An 18,589-nucleotide genomic window follows, 5' to 3' on the forward strand; every position below is an offset into this window, starting at 1 on the left:
AAATTGGTCCTCCTGGGAGGGTCACGTAGCCACCAGGCAAAAGGCACTTAGGAGAGGGGTTCCCAGGCCAGGGCCTCCCTCTTCCCACTGGATGTGCCCGCTGGATCCTCCTCCTATTTCTCCATGCCACCCTCGCATGCCTCCTGAATCCAAGCCCTGCCTGTACCAATGTGCTCCTGTCCCTCCGTCAGTGCCCGTTATGGAAAAGGCCACATAATCTGTTGAATCTTAAACTCAACTGTGGATGAAATCTACACACACATCTTATTCCATGGTGGTCTGGGCATTTTTATTTAATTGATTTTGCTCCCATTTTTGTAAGATGCACAGTGCATCCCACCGGCCCTGCCACGTGCCTTCAGGCAACCTAAGATCCATCAGCAGAGGACGCTTTCTGGTCAGAGATGCCCACATCTGATTCCTTAGGGACAACTTGGTTTTAATAAATCCAAAGTCTTCATTGCACTGATTTTTCTACCCAAATGCAATTCTCTCCTGATTGCTTCTCAGTCAAGCAGCTCAGAGAACACCTGTGAAGACAGCGGTATCTCTCACCCAGCAGGTGGGCAGCAGGTGCAGGGAGGTGGGGGGGTCAAGGTGCTATGTGAATTCAAACCACAGGGGACATAGGCCTGGGAGGGCAGCCCCATCCTCAGCCCCCCAGACACTTCTGTAGTACCTTGGAGACTTTTGGCTGCAAAGGAATCTCCACATAGGCCTGGAGTGCTTCGAGCCCAGTCCTCATCCAAGTGGGGAACATGTGGATGAGGCTGAGCTGATTCTTACTGGGTGGGGGTGGCGCTGGGGGAGATGAGGAGAAGGGAAAGAGAAGTGCAGAAAGTCCCCGCTGGGGTTTGTACACGCCTGTCCACAGTGAGGAACGGAGTTTGTACGTACCCATCCGCGGTGGGGAGCGGGTTTGTATGTGTCCATCCACGGCGAGGAGCGGGGCTGGGCTACTGAGGGGTGCTACTGGCCCCCATGTCTGCTCCTCTTTGACTGTATGGGGCTCACTGACCCTGGCGACATCAACTGGGGTGTATTCTGGATAACCACGGGACTGTACTTTCCTCATGCCCATCCTCAGCCATCCAAAGAGACAAGGCTGTCCTTGGTTACTCCATTCCAACTCCAAATCTGATCATCAGAACACTTCCTGGACTTGGGAATATAAACAGTTGAATCCAGAAAAAGAAATAATGAGCAAGAGAAAGAAAGAGAGAGAAAGAGAAAGGGAGAGAGAGAGAGAAAGAGAAAGGGAGAGAGAGAGAGAAAAGAAAGAGAGAGAGAGAAAGAGAGAGAAAGAAAGAGAGAAAGAGAAAGAAAGAAAGAGAAAAAAGAAAGAAAGAAAGAAGAAAGAAAGAAAGAAAAAGAAGGAAGGAAGGAGAGGGAGGGAGGGAAGAAGAAATGAAGGAAAGAGAGAGAGAGAAAGAAAGGAAGGGCAGGGCAGGGGACTACTGACAGTGTGGTTAATTTGTTTTGCCAAATAAAGACCAAAAAGATCTGCTGGTCACTACCATTGCATAAAGGAAAGGACATTTTAATATCAAAGCAAGTAGGAGGGCTAGAATATCAGAAGAAATAGCAGCTCTTCTCATGACAATACCAAATGGCATAAATCCTTTCTCAGAATGATGAATTACTTAACTTCCACCTACCTCAGTTTCCTCATCTGGCAAACAGGTCAGCATTGCTCAGAGGGTTACTGTGAGAATCACTGAGTTATTATTTGTAAAGTGCTTAGGATAGTGCCTGGAATGTAGGTCTGATATAAGTGTTTGTTAAATAAAAAAATTAAACCCATATTTAAAAAGTTACTCAGGCCAGGTGCAGTGGCTCACGCCTGTAATCCCAACCCTTTGGGAGGCTGAGGAGGGCAGATCACCTGAGGTCAGGAGTTCAAGACCAGCCTGGCCAACATGGTGAAACCCCGTCTCTACCAAAAATAGAAAAATTAGCTGGGCATGGTGGCATGCACCTGTAATCCCAGCTACTCAGGAAGCTGAGGCATGAGAATCACTTGAACCCAGGAGGCAGAGGTTGCAGTGAGCCACACGCCACTGTACTCACGCCTGGGTGACAGAGCAAGACTCTGTCTCAAGAAAAAAAAGTTTTAAAAAGTTAATCAGGGCAAGCGTGCCGGGGATTGGGATTGAGATCCAGCACAGGGCCCTGGGGGGACTAAAGATGCATTTTTGCAGAGGAAAATGCCTGCCCTGTTCTCTTTGCCTGCTTCCTGTGTTTTTGCACTCCAGTCACCCCATGTGACCGCTGGTCGGGGGCCCTTCCTGGGCTGGGGCTCTCCTCTAGGCCAAAACTCACCCCTCCTCCTCCCCCGCAGATCTTCGGGGGCCTGGTGTGGATCCTGGTGGCCTCCTCCCTGGTGCCCTGGCCCCTGGTCCAGGGCTGGGTGATGTTCGTGTCTGTGTTCTGCTTCGTGGCCACCACCACCTTGATCATCCTGTACATAATTGGAGCCCACGGTGGAGAGACTTCCTGGGTCACCTTGGTGAGTCCAGCCCAGGGTGGCTGCTGGTTGTAGGGGGGCGCAGGAAGTACTGGTCCCTGGCCCAGTAGGATGGGCTTTTCCAGTGCCAGGTGAGACTTCTCCGTAGATGTCACCCCACCATGTTCCAAGGCTGAGCCTGCCCAGGGCTCCTGGCAGCAGAATCAGGAGAGGCAGGGGCAGAGGCAAGGTCGCCGCTGCCAACCCTCACTGGACCTGTTCTGTGTTCTCCTGCATGACTGCCTTTCCATGGATAACCAGCTGCCCAGCCCCCACACCACCTGTACCCGCCAGGTGCCTGCCTGCCCCTCCCATCACCTGCAAGGGCTGTTTTCACCTCAAGGCAGCAGGGCCCCAGAGGCCGACCAAGGTGTTGGGCTCCAGAAATTGGCCCTGGCTCTGAGGGTCAGGCCATGCTTACTGTCCAGCTCCTCAGCCACTGCCTTCCAAGCAGGGCTGCCAGAGAGCACTGGGAAACAGAAGCGGCCTTTGGTCATTATTCTGTATAAATTCTGCTTTGAGACCCATGAAAAGGTAACTTTTACATGTAGGACACTTGCCTGTTACCTGCTGTAGGGGTGGTGGGGCCATTTGGCCAAGGCTGTCACTCTCAAAAGCTCTGCTACTTAGACTTTTGAAATCACTTCCAAATCACAACTACACAAAACCCTGTTTTAGTACCTTTTTGCTTTCATTTATTACTTTATTTTGAGTTGGGGGTCTCATTCTGTCACCCAGGCTGGAGTGCAGTGGCGCAATCTCATCTCACTGCAGCCTCAACCTCCCAGGCTCAAGTGATCGTCCTGCCACAGCCTCCTGAGTAGCTGGGACTACAGGCATGTGCCACCACACCCAGCTAAGATGTATTGTTTTGTGTAGAAATGGGGATCTAACTATGTTTCCCAGGCTGGTCTCAAGTCCTGGCCTCAAGAGATCCTCCTGCACCAATCTCCCAAAGCTCTAGGATTACAGTCATGAGCCACCACGCCCAGCCCTTTTTTGCTTTTAAATATACCAGGGGCCAAAAATAAGCAATGAAACAAAACAAAACAAAACAAAACAAAACGAAAGAAACAGCATGGTCCTCCCTCACCCTGCACTGGTCAGCGAGGCCACACCCAACCTGGACTGTGGCCATGCACGACACTTCTCAGATCCAGGACCAGCTTTTCCCTGGGACACCCCAAGCTGCTGGCCCTTCCTCCACCTCTCCCTTGACCCTTCCTCAGGGGAGACCAGTGTCCCATCCCCAGCAAAGTGCTCACTCTGGCCCCACAGCAGTGAAGTGAGACTCAGCACAGCAGGGCAGGCATGGGACCTCCGTGACAAGGTTGGGAGGGGTGGGATTCAAAGGAAGTGGGGGGAGAGGCAAGGGGCGGGGGTGGAGGGGACCTCAGCTCTGCATCTGGGCCCCGTCTCTCTCTCCCCATCCCTCTGACACCCCGTCTGCCCCATAGGACGCAGCCTACCACTGCACCGCTGCCCTCTTTTACCTCAGCGCCTCAGTCCTGGAGGCCCTGGCCACCATCACGATGCAAGACGGCTTCACCTACAGGCACTACCATGAAAACATTGCTGCCGTGGTGAGTCCGGGCACCTGGGGCTGTGTCCACAGCGGGCGGCTCCGTGGCTGGCAGGGTGTGTGTGGAGGCTGCCTAGGCCCTTGGTCTGTTTTCAGTTCACTAACTTTTGAGTGAGGTCAAACCTTGCCTTCATGCCTGGAGCAGGAAAGCCCCCGAGAAGGGCAGTGTCATGTTGTGCCCAAGACTCCGCTTAGTCGTCCGGCCAGGGCTGCATGCCCCAGGCCTGCGTGGGCTTTGCAGAGGGCAGATGTGTGAGGGGATGCGGCTGCCCAGCGCCCTGTCCGAGTGCTCCCTGAACAATCTTATTTAACATCCATGGCAACCCTACAACCCAGGATTATGACACCCATCTCACAGATGGAGAAGTGGGGCCAGAGAGTGTGACTGGCCCAAGATCACCAGTCATTGTGGGACCTGGCATCAACGCTGGAGGCCCAGTCCCCACACTCTCAGCACCAGTTTGGGGCTGTGAGTCTGACCTCATGGGTCTCCTGACTCTCCCCAAGTGGTCGTCCATTGAAGCATCCAGCCAGGGGTGGGGACGCTGAGGCCAGGTGGATTTTCTTCTTAATGGACTGGATCAGAATGACAGGGTAACAGAATATATTGTTTCATCACATGTTTTTCAGAGCTGTGCATGTGTGCCCTTGCACCAGTCTACGATATAAAACATGCTTCTGACCATGGGTATTGTTAAAAAGTAAGAAGTTTCAGAAAGAGCACTCTTCAGATCTCTAGAACTTAACCTATGAATTATGCAAATCCCAAGGTAGAATGTGGTGACAGATCCTGAGATACCAGCTCTAGTAGCCAAAGCTGTGTCATCCCCTCTTTTTGGAAAGTGTAGGGCAGAGGCTGAGAGAAGACCCACAGATAGGCTTTAGAAATGGGGTTGGTGAAGTGCCTCTTCCCACTCCCAGAAGGAGGGCCCCAGGGGAAAATCCCTCAAAGCCTCACTTGCTGGTCCCCTTGCACAGTCCCCTGCCCTGGGGAAACCACACACTGCCCTCAAGCTCCCAGCCTACAATCGCTCCCCTAAAAAGGGCCCCCTCAGGATCCTGGCATCCCCCCAGGGGTCCCGCGGTGTGGAAACATCTCCCGTGTTGGCCCATCTCCCAACATGGCTGGTTTCCAAGCAGCAGCACAGCCAGGGGGCATCTTGACTGATCTTCCTTCCTGGGGAGGCTGGTGAGCCACCCTCCATCTTCTTCACACAATTCCATCTCATCTCCCTCTCCCAAGACTGCCTCATACCTCCCCCATCCCAGCCAAGCCTTCTCTTTTAACAAACATCAACAAAGTGTCTGACAATAATTTCCATAAAATTGTTGTGAACAAAGGTTGCGAAATGTAGATGGGATGTGGTTAGTGGGTCAGCACTTGATGGAAAAACCCAGCTAGGGGAATGAACACCCCTTCCCGCTGGGCAGGTCTCTAGTTGAGAACCACTAGGCTCTACTGCCTTCTGACTTTCCTCTTTTACCTTTTATCAAAGGCAGCACACAGCCAGAGAGGTGTGCAGTTACAAGCCCACAGCTTGATGGATTTCATACAGCGAACTCCCTGTGTGGATGGTGTCTGGACTAAGAATTAGGGCCAGTTACCAGCGCACAGTCTGATGAATTCTCATAGAGCAAACTCCCCAGTGTAGTTGGCATCTGGACTAAGAATTAGGGCCTGATAAACAACTCCCAGAAATCCCCTCAAGTCCTGTCCCCATCACTGTGCACCCCCACCACCACCCAATTCTGATTTCTAGCACCATGTTCAGTTTTGCCTGCCTTTGAACTTCATATAAGTGGAATTATACAGTGGGTACTCATGTGTGGCTTCTTTCTCTCACCCTTGTGTTTGTGAGACTCACCCAAGTGGCTGGGTGTAGATGTGGGTTGTTTGTTCTCATTACTGTATAGTATTCCCTTGTAGGAATAGACCAACATCTATTTATCCATCCCATGACTGACCATGTTCCCATTTTTTTTTAGTTGAGTTGGATAGACACGAATATGTTCACGCAGACAGGAGCGTTAGAATTGAGAACCAGAGTGTTCTCAGCTGGCAGATGTGCCCAGATAAAACCACCAAGGGGAAATCTGCACGGCGTTCGATGTAAAGTCACACCTTTCAACTCACGGTATCAACTGCATCCGTCTGTGAGAGAGAAAGAAGTTCGTTACTCAGGATTCAATCCCAGACCCGCCCAACCACAGCATGCCCAGTCCAGGGGATACTTGGGTACAGGGAGGCACCTCACACCCTCTCTCACACAGCCTGGTTTTGGAAGCAGCCAGCCTGCCTCACATCCACTGTGTGGCTACTAATTAGGGTCTGTTCCAAGCTGAGCTCCTCCCTCTCTCCTTTGTGGGTGGCGGAGCTGCTTTGCCAAAGGGACCCCAGGGATGGGTGGAAGTCGCCTGGGGCGAGATGGAAATTTCTGGAGAAATCTGGAGGTTTCTAGATTATACAATGGTGGGCAGTGATGGCTACAGTTTAGGGAGAGGGCTTTCTGAAGCCAAAATTTGCCCATTCGTGCCCAGCTCTACGTGTTCCCAGTGGGCCATTTCTTGACCCCACTTGGAAAATGAGTCTCCACTGCTCTTCCTGCTGGGGACTTCCAAGGTGCTTCTGCCAAAGGCTTTCATTGGTCTGGAATGCCCACCTTTTATGGAGGGCTGCCCACTGGTGTCTGACTGCTCCTGCCCAGATACGTTCTCTTAAATGTGTTATTCAATAATTCAGCTTACTCACCGCCTCCAGGCAATGAGGGAAAGGGCTTGGCCAGGTGTAGGGGCAGGAGAGCAGGCACCCTGAGGGCTGGGATTGATGAGCATTTTCAGGAGTCACAGAGGCGTAGCCGCCCTAAATGGACGTCGTGCCTGAGCTGGAAACTCTTGACCCCTAACCAAGGTCACAAAACCAGGTGCAGAGATTGGACTTGGCAGCAGGCAGGCCTTCAGGGAGTAGGGTGATGGGAGCAGACAGTGCCCAGGAGGACACAGCAAGTCCCCAGAAAGCAGGGCCATCGCTCCAAGGGCCACAGTGGCTGACTGGATGGTCCCAACAGTAAGGCCCCTCCTTTAGACAAAAGCTCAAAATCCCTTCTCCCCTTCTCTGTCCCTCACTTCCTATGAAGTCTGGCTCTCTCAGCCACACCTGTGATATTAAGAATCCTAAAACAAAATAATGATAGGGTGAGAATGTCCAGGCAGCATGGAGACTTTCACCAGGGCCAGCAAACCCAGGTATTTACAATCTCTCAACCGAGCTACCAGGACCACAGCTGGAGGGCGCTGGTCTCACTGGTGTTGGGGGAGGAAGTTGTCCCTGGAGAGTTACCTGCCTGAGATGCTTTCATTGGAGGGGTCTTTGAGGACTCCATCTCAAGTCAGCCGAAACCTCAAGCTGAGACGAATGTGATGCTGGGTGATAGTGGAGAGTCTTACCTTCCACACCAGATCCAGGAGACTGTTAGGTCACATGGAGCTCTGTACTGAGAGGATTTGGTGCACACCTGGGCTCAGCAGGGAGGGCGTCCATGTGAGGGTGAGAAGCAATGACAGCCCAAGCTCTCTGGGTCTGGCCCCCCCTACGCCACGTGGGGCTGGATGCAGTGCAGACGCTGTGCCTCGCCCTCCCTACACAAACCCATTAACGGCCATTTCTCTTGGTTCCAGGTGTTCTCCTACATAGCCACTCTGCTCTACGTGGTCCATGCGGTGTTCTCTTTAATCAGATGGAAGTCTTCATAAAGCCGCAGTAGAACTTGAGCTGAAAACCCAGATGGTGTTAACTGGCCGCCCCACTTTCCGGCATAACTTTTTAGAAAACAGAAATGCCCTTGATGGTGGAAAAAAGAAAACAACCACCCCCCCACTGCCCAAAAAAAAAAGCCCTGCCCTGTTGCTCGTGGGTGCTGTGTTTACTCTCCCGTGTGCCTTCGCGTCCGGGTTGGGAGCTTGCTGTGTCTAACCTCCAACTGCTGTGCTGTCTGCTAGGGTCACCTCCTGTTTGTGAAAGGGGACCTTCTTGTTCGGGGGTGGGAAGTGGCGACCGTGACCTGAGAAGGAAAGAAAGATCCTCTGCTGACCCCTGGAGCAGCTCTCGAGAACTACCTGTTGGTATTGTCCACAAGCTCTCCCGAGCGCCCCATCTTGTGCCATGTTTTAAGTCTTCATGGATGTTCTGCATGTCATGGGGACTAAAACTCACCCAACAGATCTTTCCAGAGGTCCATGGTGGAAGACGATAACCCTGTGAAATACTTTATAAAATGTCTTAATGTTCAATACATTTGTTGGGTGTTTTTTGGGTTTGGGTTGAATTCCTCAGCATCAAGAATACCATCAATTCAGCTTTCTTTCTGAGGAATCCTTTGACTTAACCTGAATCTCAAGAGACAGCATCAGGTGGCAGTTCAGACGACGGACACTGTGTGTGCCAGGCCACTGCACTCTCAGAGCCCGGTGCTGGGGAGCCCACCCTCCCAGCTACCTGCCCAGATGGCTTCCCCTCTCTCTGGAAACTGGCCAAGTGCCAGCCAGGGGCAGCTTCTCCTTCCTACAAGACACAACAGTCTGTGCCCCACTAGAACCTCCTTCCACCAAAAGAAAACACGGTGCACAAGTTTTCATTCACTCATTGTGAAGCTCATCAGCGTGTTCCTGGGCAGTCTGCTTTGTTCCCATTGTGTGGATAATACATTATTTTAGAATTTCCTCGGGCCACTCCATAGGAGAGAAAGGAGAGGAAATTACAGAGTGAAAGGAAGTACGGTGACAAGGGGTGAATGCCATGTTTCAAGTCTGAGATGTCTGGGTTGAAAGGAGATGGGATGATTAGGAAGGAGGCACTGAGTTAGGAATCTGGAAAGCCCAGCTCTGTTATGAAACGCTCCCTTATCCCATGGCTCCGAGAAGTTAGTGCCATTCCAGAGATGGGACGCTGGAAGAGGTGCTTGAAGACCCGTGAGCTTCCTGCCATGGAGGTGTGTGGTAGAGCATCTGCAACCTCTTGCTGGCAGCCATGGGGACAAAGATTCAAGCTTCAGGCTGTAACGGTGTCATGTACCTGTGGTCCCAGCTACTCAGGAGGTTGAGGTGGGAGCATCACTTGAGCCCAGGAGTTTGAGGTTGCAGTGAGCTGTGATGGTGTTACTGCACTCCAGCCTGGGCAGCAGAGCAAGACCCTGTCTCTAAAATAAAATGATAAAATAAAATAAAAATAAAATTCAAGCCTCAAGTGGTGAGTTTAGTTGACATTTTACTGCTCTTCAACTTGGAGAGTCTACAACTAAATTGGTCTATTCAGGAGGTCCTTTGTTAATCCAGGATAACTGGTACCAGAAACCAGCCACTCTTAGTAAGTACACGTCAAACAGCCAACATTTCATAGTATATCATGAGCAAAAGGTTTGACTGGGGCTTTACCTAATGAGAAGTAATAGGAAGTTTGTTACATGTTTAACAAAATTTCCATCCAGTGTTGATTGAGAGAAGTCTCATTTTTCAACAAAACTGTCCACAGGAAGCCATCAACATGTTAATGAAGCTCACTTTTTACCCTCATCAAAAAGAAGAAGAAGAAGGAGGGGGAGAAGGAGGAGGAGAAATGGAAGGCTTAGTTTCCCAAGGGCTTCTCAATGTTTTGACATTTTAATCATTCTCTTTTTAAAAAAATCTTTCATATACTCTTTCTCTATTTTTAATTTAGCCAAAGGCTTTGCAGATGGTTCTCTGACGCCACTTTCTTATTCCTTCTAGCCCTGGGCATATTTTAAATTTGCAGTTTCATTTCACATTTGACTTGCATCCTATTCACATTGGATGTAAATTGGATGGGCAAGGTTTCATTTCCAGCCTCAAAAAATGCCCCCTTCCGGTCTTGCTCTTCCTCCTCACCCCCCACCCTCACACCCCAGCCCCTGTCGGGTTTCTTTGCTCCTGCATCTCTGTTCCCAGCTCTGTCCCTATCTGGCTGTTTTGTGCTTGCAGGTACACATGAGTGCTGGCGGCAGCCCTGCCAGCCATGGGTGCTGCTCCCCTGGGAGCCCACGATGCCTGGGTAGGAAGGGTTGGGAATGGGGACATTAGAGAAGCCTGCTGGGTGAAGCAGGCTGCAGAGAGGGGCACCGGCTGAGCACCTTCTGTGTGCTGGGACCATTGAGGGGATGGTTTCTAGCCCCCAAAGCTGCTTCTTGCTGGCACCCCTCACCTCTCTGCCTCTGTCTTACACAGGAGGGGACCTCCTCTAAGGCAGAGCCTGGTGCCACCCAAGGCACTCACAGACTGCCTGCTTGTGGCCCTCACTTAGATCAAACGCAACTGCCCAGAAGACCCAAATTCACTCTTGTGTAACCATCTTCCCTGCCATTTTGGGGGCTCTTGCCTTGTGCCAGGCACTGTGTAAGCACTTTCCATATATAGCTTTCTGTCACTCTCCCAGTGGCCACGTCATCCTACAGGTGAGAAAACTGAGGCTGGTGCAGGTGGTGAGAAGTGCAGTTGGACTGAGGGCCGCCTCCCTCTGGCCCTGAAGCCCTGGGCTTGATATGACCTCAAGGCACCCAGACCTGTCCTCACGCGGGCCGTCCTCCCGTCTCCCAGGAAGTGGCAGTGAGATTTAGTGGTTGACAGGATGCTGGTAGGCAGGAGCCTTCAGAGAGTGATGAAGCCAGGCACTTAGGATAGCCCCAGTCCACCAGCAGGGCCTATAGCAGCCCACGGCCACGGCCAGGCCCTGCACTCAGCGTCTCCTGGAGAAGAGCTGGCTGCTCAGAGCTGCAGCCACAGCCACGCCAGCTCAGGTAGCTGCTGGGTCCACTTTGCAGCCCCCATAGAGCCAAAGCCAAAGTCCAGCTGATACTTTGCAAAGGTGAGGAACTGGGTATTTTTAAGCTCACAGAATAAGGAGCTAAATCTATCCACAAGCCTGAGAAAGGATTAGGAAGAGGCCATTGTGTATGCTGTGACTCAGAGCCAAAGCTTGCAGAATAGGCCAGACCATAGTCAGTCACCCCACTTTTGTCCCCACCAAGTTGTGGGCCCAGCAGAGAAGAGAACAGAGGGGTTTGGACCAACTGGGCCTCGTGGGTCACTGCTAAGGGCTTCCCCCTCCCCTGATTGTCCCTGTGGCTTGTGTGCTGTCCATGGACCCAGGAACGTGCAGTGCCCGGTCAGGCGCCAGGAGGGACACGGGGCCAGTGCTCAATAAACACGGCCGCATAAGTGAGCAGGCCCAGCGCCCCAGGGCCGCTCCAGCTGACCTGTGCTCATGCATGTCTGTCCTCTGGCCTCTCAGGAAATGACAGTGAGATGAGACCTTGTGGTGGACAGATGCCAGGTGAAAGGGAGTTTCTGATGGGGGTGCAGCCAGGGTTTGGTACAGTGTCTGGGAGCGCTCTGGTGTAGATTTCACTGGACAGTGATTTGGTCACTGCATTCCTTCTTGCTTTCCATGGCCCTCGAGCAGCTCCATGGGGCTTATGATTCATTATGGACACGTGTGTGGGGAGGGGGCACATCACCAGAGAGCAATCAGCAAAAGGTAACTATAAGCCAAATCCAGCCAGGACATTTTGGAGGCTATGGCCTGTGACTTCCCAGGCTGTGGCCCCCTTGCTTCAGGGGGCGATCCTGGGAGTATCCTCCTGGTGGCCTTCCTTGTGCAGGGCAGGGTGGCCTGGGAGGTGTCCCAGGGAGCTAAGCTCCTGCCCCCCATTCTGCACATGATAGAGCCCCATCGATCTTCCCTTCTGGAGAAGACACAGCTTATATGAGCCGGGCTTCTTCAACATTTGAGAGCCGAATTCTAAAAAGCATCTCGTACCCCCACTCCCGCAGGTTGTAGGACTATTTTTGCAAAGCAGCCCAAATGGAGGATTGAAGGCTGCCTTACGCTGACCTTAAAGAGACAGCAAAGGGTTTGCGCTGCCAGCCGTGGGCTGGAGCGAGCCTGCCTTCGGGGCCCACACAAGGGCCTGTTGTTCTGGGTATCAACTGGGGCCGGTGTGGGGTTACAAAGAGGCCTTTCAAAGAGACAAAGCGCCTCTGGACAGGCTGAGTGTCCCTGCACACGTGGGCATCCGCCCAGGGCATTTAAAATAACGCGATTTGAAAAAACAGATTTGAAGTGATTTTTCCTACTCCGCGTTATTCAGTGGCCTTTGTTCTGTCTGCATCATACCCGGCGACAGCAGCTTCTAAGAGCTGGGGCGCTGGAGCAGACACGGGGGTTCCTAGCTGTGGCTGCTCTCTTCCTTCACAGGTAACGAGATCATCACACTGCCAGGCTCTCTAGAGGGTACCAGAGAGGTTGGATTCACACGGGGTGCTCGGCTGCCAGGACTTCCTTCAGCTGGAGGCAGGCACCCATGACATACGGCGTGAGATGACTTCCCAGCGCCGCTGGGTGCCAGGTGCTGCTTGAAGTGCTTTACTTCTTCACTTAATCCTGTGACGACCTTATGTGGTAGATACAATTTAGATGAGGACTCTGAGGCACAGAGAGGTTAAGTGACTTACCCAAGGTCACACAGCAAGTAGGCATGGATCCTGATTCCAGCAGAGTGGCTCCCGGGCCCCTGAGGCTAACCGTCATGCTTCATGTCTCACTGTGACAGGGTCCTTGTCTCTCTGGGAGCAGGGGGCACATGCTAAGATGTCCTTCATACTCACAATGCTGACTTTACCAATACTGAAAACTCCAAATGGCACTTGAGGAGTGTCAGGAAAACCTAGCCAGGAGCCCAACCTGCTGCGGAGGGATGTCTGAGATGAGGGAGACTTTGCCATACAAAGAAGTCGGAAAGGGCTTCCCTGGGCAGAGCAAGGGTGATCTGGGCCAGGTGTGTGTCGAAGGCTGGGGGGTGAGGGGGTGTCTTAGGAGGTTACGAGGGCCTGGGCTGGTCCTGGAGGCAGAGCTGAGCTTGGCTTTCACCCAAGGGGCAAGCCCTGTGGGGGTATCTCTTGGGCAGTGGCAGCCATCCAGCCGAGAGATGCTGTGGGTGTGAGCGGGCAGGCTGGACCAGGGAGATAGGAGAGATGTGGCCAGATCTTGGTGAGCTGAGAGCAGCCAAAGGGAGTGGCCGAGGGCATGGATCCCTGAGCCAGCCCAAGTGTGTGGTCCCTCTCAGCCTCAGCTTCCTGTCTGCAGAATGGGAATATTAATTCTGCCTCACAGGCAGCTGGGAGGATTTGAGGACTCGGTTCAGATAAGTCCCTGGGACCAAGGACATCTCAGGAAGTACCGGCCGCTGTTATCATTGTGGGAATGAAGAAAAAGAAGGTCTAGAATGATCCTGAACTTTCCAGCCTGGGCAGACGATGGCTATTCACATTATGCTTATTCATTAACCATGTTGTTGGCATTCTGTCATGAACTTGGGCTGGTACTTTTGCTTTTTCCCATAGAACTGAACGTTTAATCAGCCATGACATAGTTTAAAACAGTCCCACTTAGGAAACCAAGCTCCAGTGCTTTGGGGAGAGGCCATTCCTGCCACAGCCCCTGACACTGAGGGAGGAGCTCCCAGAGGGCCTGAGAGGGTCACAGTCACTGGGCGGGCCTCTTCTCTCCCTCGCCCAGGGCATGAGCAGCCAAGCCAGAGAAGCCTCAGCCACCGGCACAGCAGCACCGGGAGAAGCCCAGGAATTTACAGATGAAGAGCCCAGGTCCCAGGAGGGTGGGAGTCTGGCCCAGGGCACCAGACAAGTCAGCGCCAGGGTGGCCTCGGCCCCGCCTCCCAGGCTCCCTCCCCTGTGAGCCCCTGCTGCCCACCTCTCCTATGGTACCTCACTGCTTCCCACACTGAGGCAGAGGGAGAGACGGGGGCTGGTGAGAGCAAGGAGTAACCCACGATAAAGACAGGGCAAGGGGGCAAAAAGGGGCTGGGGAGGCTCACTGAAGGCAACTTCCAGGTCTATTGCCCACTGGGAGTCTGGCCCCGTGGCCTCCACTTTCTAGGGTGAGAGCTGGTGACACCTGTGGATCATGCAGGACAGACCTCCACCGGTGGCTGGAATGAGGGGCACGGCTGCCCCTCACATCATGCACCCATCACCCAGCACAGTCCAGGTGTGTTGTACCATGGGTGTTAGGTGGCACGATGGTGGTGATGAGGATGTAATCCACTGGCTTAAACCCTGCCCAGCTCACATACTCCCTCCTCCAGGGCGCTACACCTGTCCCACTCCTGCTTCTGGGCATCCTGGCTCCCCACACCCCACCTGCTGTCCTTAAGCCTGCAAGCCCCCACCCTCCAGACCCCACTCCCGATACTCCACTGCCTCCCAGACACCATGGCTGGGTCTCAGCTGATGCTCACCCATAGCCACCCTCAACAGGCTAGGAGGACTGAGAGGCCCCACGCAGCCCCCCAGGACAGCTGTTGGCCGAGGGAAGAGGAAGAGAATTGACCCTGAGGGCCCCACCCATGGTTCATCCCTGCCACCAAGCCAGGAGACGGTGGCCCGCAGGGGAAGTGCAGGTGGAAGGACAGCATATTTTCATGGACTACTCACTTCTACAATCGGGGCTGGGGCCTCCAATCTAGGCCCGTGCCCCATCTTGGACAAACAATGACAGGAATGTGCACCGAGATGGTGTGCCCAGCCAAGCCAGCCTGGGTGGCCAGATGCTGGGATAGGGCCTGCCCTGCCCTTCACCCTACTTTCTGAGGTGGGCAGTTTTCTGGCTCTGGTGCTGACAGGCGAAGGCTAAAGATACCCAGTTCTCTGGTGGCTGTCCCCACAGAGTACACTCTCGGACACTGGCACTGTCCCTGCTGGAATGGAAGGGGCAGGGTTTCTGGCCTCACTTGGCAGGAAGGTGGGTAGAAAGAGGTTAAGGAGGGACAGAGAAAGCTGGCCACATGGTCAGTCTCGTGCCCCATCCCACTCGCTCCATCTGCTGAATGTCGTTACCTCCTGTATCAAACATGAGGCCCCACAGCGGCCGGTGTGCATTCTCCATATAAGTGGAACTAAGAGCTCCGCACGTGTTCTCCACTGTCACCTCAAGACAATCCTCCTAGGGAGATGCTACGATCATTTCCACCATGCAGATGAGGAAGCAGGTTCTCTGAGGCTGAATCGTGCCTGGCTAATGCCACACACAGATGAAGCCAGGCAGAGGCATCACGTAGACTTCTGCATCCTCAGTGTTCCCTGTCTCCCTGTGAGTCTGTCTTCCCTTGAGCACTCTTCCCACCCTAGCCCTGTACGCAGACTGCGCTGGATGCACGCTCTCCGCTGTCCCGGCTTCCCTCTGAGGCTTAAAAGGGCTATTGTTCCCAACGATGCCTGCACTTTGGCCAGGGAACCTCTGGTGCATGGGGCACCAGAATGGGGAGTATTTGGGGATTTGGAAAGAAAAAACTAATGTTTTACAGTAAAACTTACTGGTGGGGTGCAGTGGCTCTTGCCTGTAATCCCAGTACTTTGGTGGGAGCTTCGCTTGAGGTTAGGAGTTTGAGACCAGCCTGGGCAACACAGGGAGACCCTGCTTCTACAAAAAAAAAATTAATTATCTGAGCATGGTGGTGTGCATCTGTGTTTCCAGCTATTCAGGAGGCTGAGGTGGGAGGATCTCCTGAGGCCAGAAGGTTGAGACTGCAGTGAGCTATGATTGGGCCACTGCACTCCAGCCTGGGCAACAGAGCAAGATCCTGTCTCCAAACAAAAAAGAAAAAAAAGTGTTTACTTTACACCCCAAACAGGAATGGTGCTATCTTTTGACCTAACAGGACTCAGATGAGACTTTAGTAAAGAAGACAGTTGCCTGATCCTGTTTTGCTTTCTGTATTGTTTCAGGGGAATAGAATGCAAGCATTTCCCAGTCCAGACAGGCAGGTCCCCTGGCCCCAACAGTGGCCTGGTCCTGACATAGGGTCCAGGTTTGGGAAGAGGCTGGCTGTTCAGGTCTGTTCACTCCTTCCTGCTCTGAAGCCTGTCTTGCTGAGCATGTGCTTCCCGCAGGGGTGAGAGGACAAACCCAGAGGAGCAGCCCCTCCACCCAGTGTTTGAGGAGCTGTAAGCAAGCCCCAGCAGACTCAAGCAAGCTCCAGTCGAGTTAATTCCCAGACAACTGTGAGAGAGAACAGGCTGCAGAGGCCATCTGAGGTCTGCAGCGAGTGGTTGGGGACAGAGAGAGGTGCAAGGGACAGGCATGGATGAAAGCGCCCCTTCCTTGGGCACCAGCACACTGACAGCTGTGGTTCTGGTGTGCGGCCTTGGCTCCGTGGGGCCTCCACATCCACACACAGACCCTTGTGAGGTGCAAAGCCGTGGTCCAGCCACCTGCCCAGACAGTGGGTGCCAGGGAGCCTTCCTTCCTCCCCAGCCACGGAGACACAGCCCTCTCCCTTCCTGCCCTCCTACCCGGGGTGCTGAGAACAGTCTGTGTCTTCACAGAATCGGTGCACCCTTGCCTCCTACCCAAGCAGGGCCTCAGTCAGCGACTGAAGCATCCTGTGGAACTCACTCAATCCTCAAGCCCCTATTGGTCACTCCTTTGGCACAAGGAGTAACTTCACCTCCTACTTCTAAAAATAGAAATTTTTTAGTTAAAAAAAAAAAAGAAGCTTCCCTATTAGAGGAAGGGACCCTTCCTGGACCCCTTCTTCCTGCCCATCCCTCCCTCTCTACAAACCCACCTCCATCCTCCCAGTCACATCCACCCCCACTGCCAGACTCGGGCCTCCTTCCAACACAGCTGTCTCCCCCATCTTCAGTGGCTGTTCTGCTCCCTTCGGGGTCGCCCCCACGGCATCCAGTCCAATCTCAGCATCCTTCAAGACAACAGCACCACCAACACACCCAAAACCAGATGAATACATAAGCAAAAATGAAAATGCGAAAATCTCACAACACCCAAATCACACCAGACCCAAGAAAACCACCAATCCCGCTCCTCTTGTCCCCTGCCCAGCCCGACTCCTTGAAAGAGTCAGCCCACAGCTCTGCCCATTCCTCTGCCTCCAATGTGCTCTCTTCATTTGTGTTAGTAATCCTTACATTTTTATTTCTACCAAGCATAGATGTGAACGTGGTTTGAAGGCTCAAATAGTTCATAAAAGCTCCCAATACTCCCTGCACTCCTGCCCTCCTGCACTCTCCTCTTCCCCTAGAGGCAGAGAGGCAGCTGCTTCCACCTCTCATGCTAATCGTGTTGGCATTTGCTCTGTGTGTAAATAACAAGTCTGTGTTGAAGCTTCCTGGGTTTTTAGATTTAGGTTTTCTTGCTGGGCGTGGTGGTTCACACCTGTAATCCCAGCGCTTAGGTAGGCAGAGACAGGAGAATTGTTTAAGCACAGGAGACTTGCCTGGGCAACATAGCCAGGCCCAGTTCTCCACAAAAAGGAAAAAAAAAAGTAGATTTACAGACTCCTCACTTCCTCACTTTGGATGATGAGAATTGAGCTCTTGTCCTTCTCCATCCCCACCTCCTGCATTCAGTTCCTCTCCCTCCACCCTCCTGTGTGGCTGCGTGGTAATCTTGTGCAGGTCAGAATTCATCGTTTGTAGTGCTGTATTAAGCTATGTCATGCTATTCAGAGACAAGCCATTCAGTGCACCAGAACTACTTCTTTCTTTTGTTTCCCATGATGCTAATAATTGCCTGCGGTTTGGGGTTTTGTGGGGTTTTTTGGGGGTTTTTTGTTTTTTTGTTTTTGTTTTTCAAGAGAAGGGGCTTATTTTCTTCTATTTACTTATTAATTCAACTCAAATCTGGTGACAATTTTTTTTTTTTTTTTGAGACAGTCTCGCTCTGTTGTCCAAGCTGGAGTGCAGTGGCACGATCACAGCTCACTGCAGCCTCAGTGTCCCAGGGTCAAGCCGTCCTCCCACCTCAGCCTCCTGAGTAGCTGGGACTACAGATGTGCACCCACAAGCTTGGCTGATTTTTTTCTTTGTAGAGACAAGATCTCGCTATGTTGCCCAGGCTGGTCCAAACTCCTGGGCCGTGACAATTTTTTAAGTCTCCCTCAAGATCATCAGACACATCAGGTATTCTTCCTCCTCCTGGGGGGTCTCTCCCAGAGCCTTCCCACTCTCACTAGGTGCCCTCAATGCCTGGGGCCCGCGGTCCCTGCGTCATCTTCCTGGATGCCCCTCCTTGCCCCTGTACCCCTCTCCCCTTTCCTGCTGTGTGCACAGCTAGCTCTTGCCCCTTTAGGCTCACTCATGCGGGGACACATGCTCTGGTGACCTCCTAGGAAACTGTTTAATGGGAGTTGAGATGGCTGAGTTTTAGACTGCTACTGTTGGACAATGTTTTATTCTACCTTCACCCTTGATTAATAGTTAAGCTGAGAATAAAACTGGGGTTAAATAATTTTCGTTCAAAATGTGAGAGGCATAGTTCTATTGCATTCAAGCTTCCAGAGTTACTATTTCTTCCATGATTTCCTCTGCTATTTTTCTGTCCTGTTTAGGGCTTTCTATTATTTGTGTATCCAATTTTCTGAACTGGCTCGCTAAGCTTCTTTATTTTACTGTCTTCT

At 52.5% G+C, this 18,589-nt stretch overlaps 1 protein-coding gene and 1 long non-coding RNA gene across 5 annotated transcripts in view, besides 2 other annotated features; one reads left to right on the forward strand and one right to left on the reverse strand.

The window, feature by feature from the left end:
- The window catches only part of MAL (mal, T cell differentiation protein (MAL blood group)), a 28,285-nt gene extending 19,910 nt beyond the window's left edge, over nt 1–8,375 (forward strand). Inside the window, exons 2-4 of one of the 4 annotated variants that reach the window (NM_002371.4) lie at nt 2,342–2,509; nt 3,964–4,089; nt 7,764–8,375. In NM_002371.4, coding sequence (NP_002362.1) covers nt 2,342–2,509; nt 3,964–4,089; nt 7,764–7,838 — 369 coding nt within the window. In that variant the 3' untranslated portion in view covers nt 7,839–8,375. The remainder of the gene's footprint in view (nt 1–2,341; nt 2,510–3,963; nt 4,090–7,763) is intronic. The other 3 variants (NM_022438.3, NM_022439.3, NM_022440.3) reach the window with 3 other exon arrangements.
- On the reverse strand, nt 268–2,456 carry LOC124906047 (uncharacterized). The gene is made up of 3 exons (XR_007087138.1): nt 1,659–2,456; nt 898–1,161; nt 268–530 (listed from the first exon to the last, which is right to left on the reverse strand). It is a non-coding gene; the product is annotated as an uncharacterized LOC124906047 (long non-coding RNA).
- Nucleotides 2,085–2,624: an enhancer, noted in NCBI's record as "H3K4me1 hESC enhancer chr2:95713447-95713986 (GRCh37/hg19 assembly coordinates)". NCBI's record gives its function as "activates a minimal SCP1, AML or CMV promoter by ChIP-STARR-seq in primed H9 embryonic stem cells {active_cell/tissue: H9 hESC(primed)}" and the evidence as "EXISTENCE:reporter gene assay evidence [ECO:0000049][PMID:30033119]".
- Nucleotides 17,270–17,459: an enhancer, noted in NCBI's record as "active region_16181". NCBI's record gives its function as "activates an Ori minimal core promoter by ATAC-STARR-seq in GM12878 lymphoblastoid cells {active_cell/tissue: GM12878}" and the evidence as "EXISTENCE:reporter gene assay evidence [ECO:0000049][PMID:35858748]".

This window comes from Homo sapiens, chromosome 2 (genome assembly GCF_000001405.40).
Source record: "Homo sapiens chromosome 2, GRCh38.p14 Primary Assembly".
NCBI lineage: Eukaryota > Metazoa > Chordata > Mammalia > Primates > Hominidae > Homo > Homo sapiens.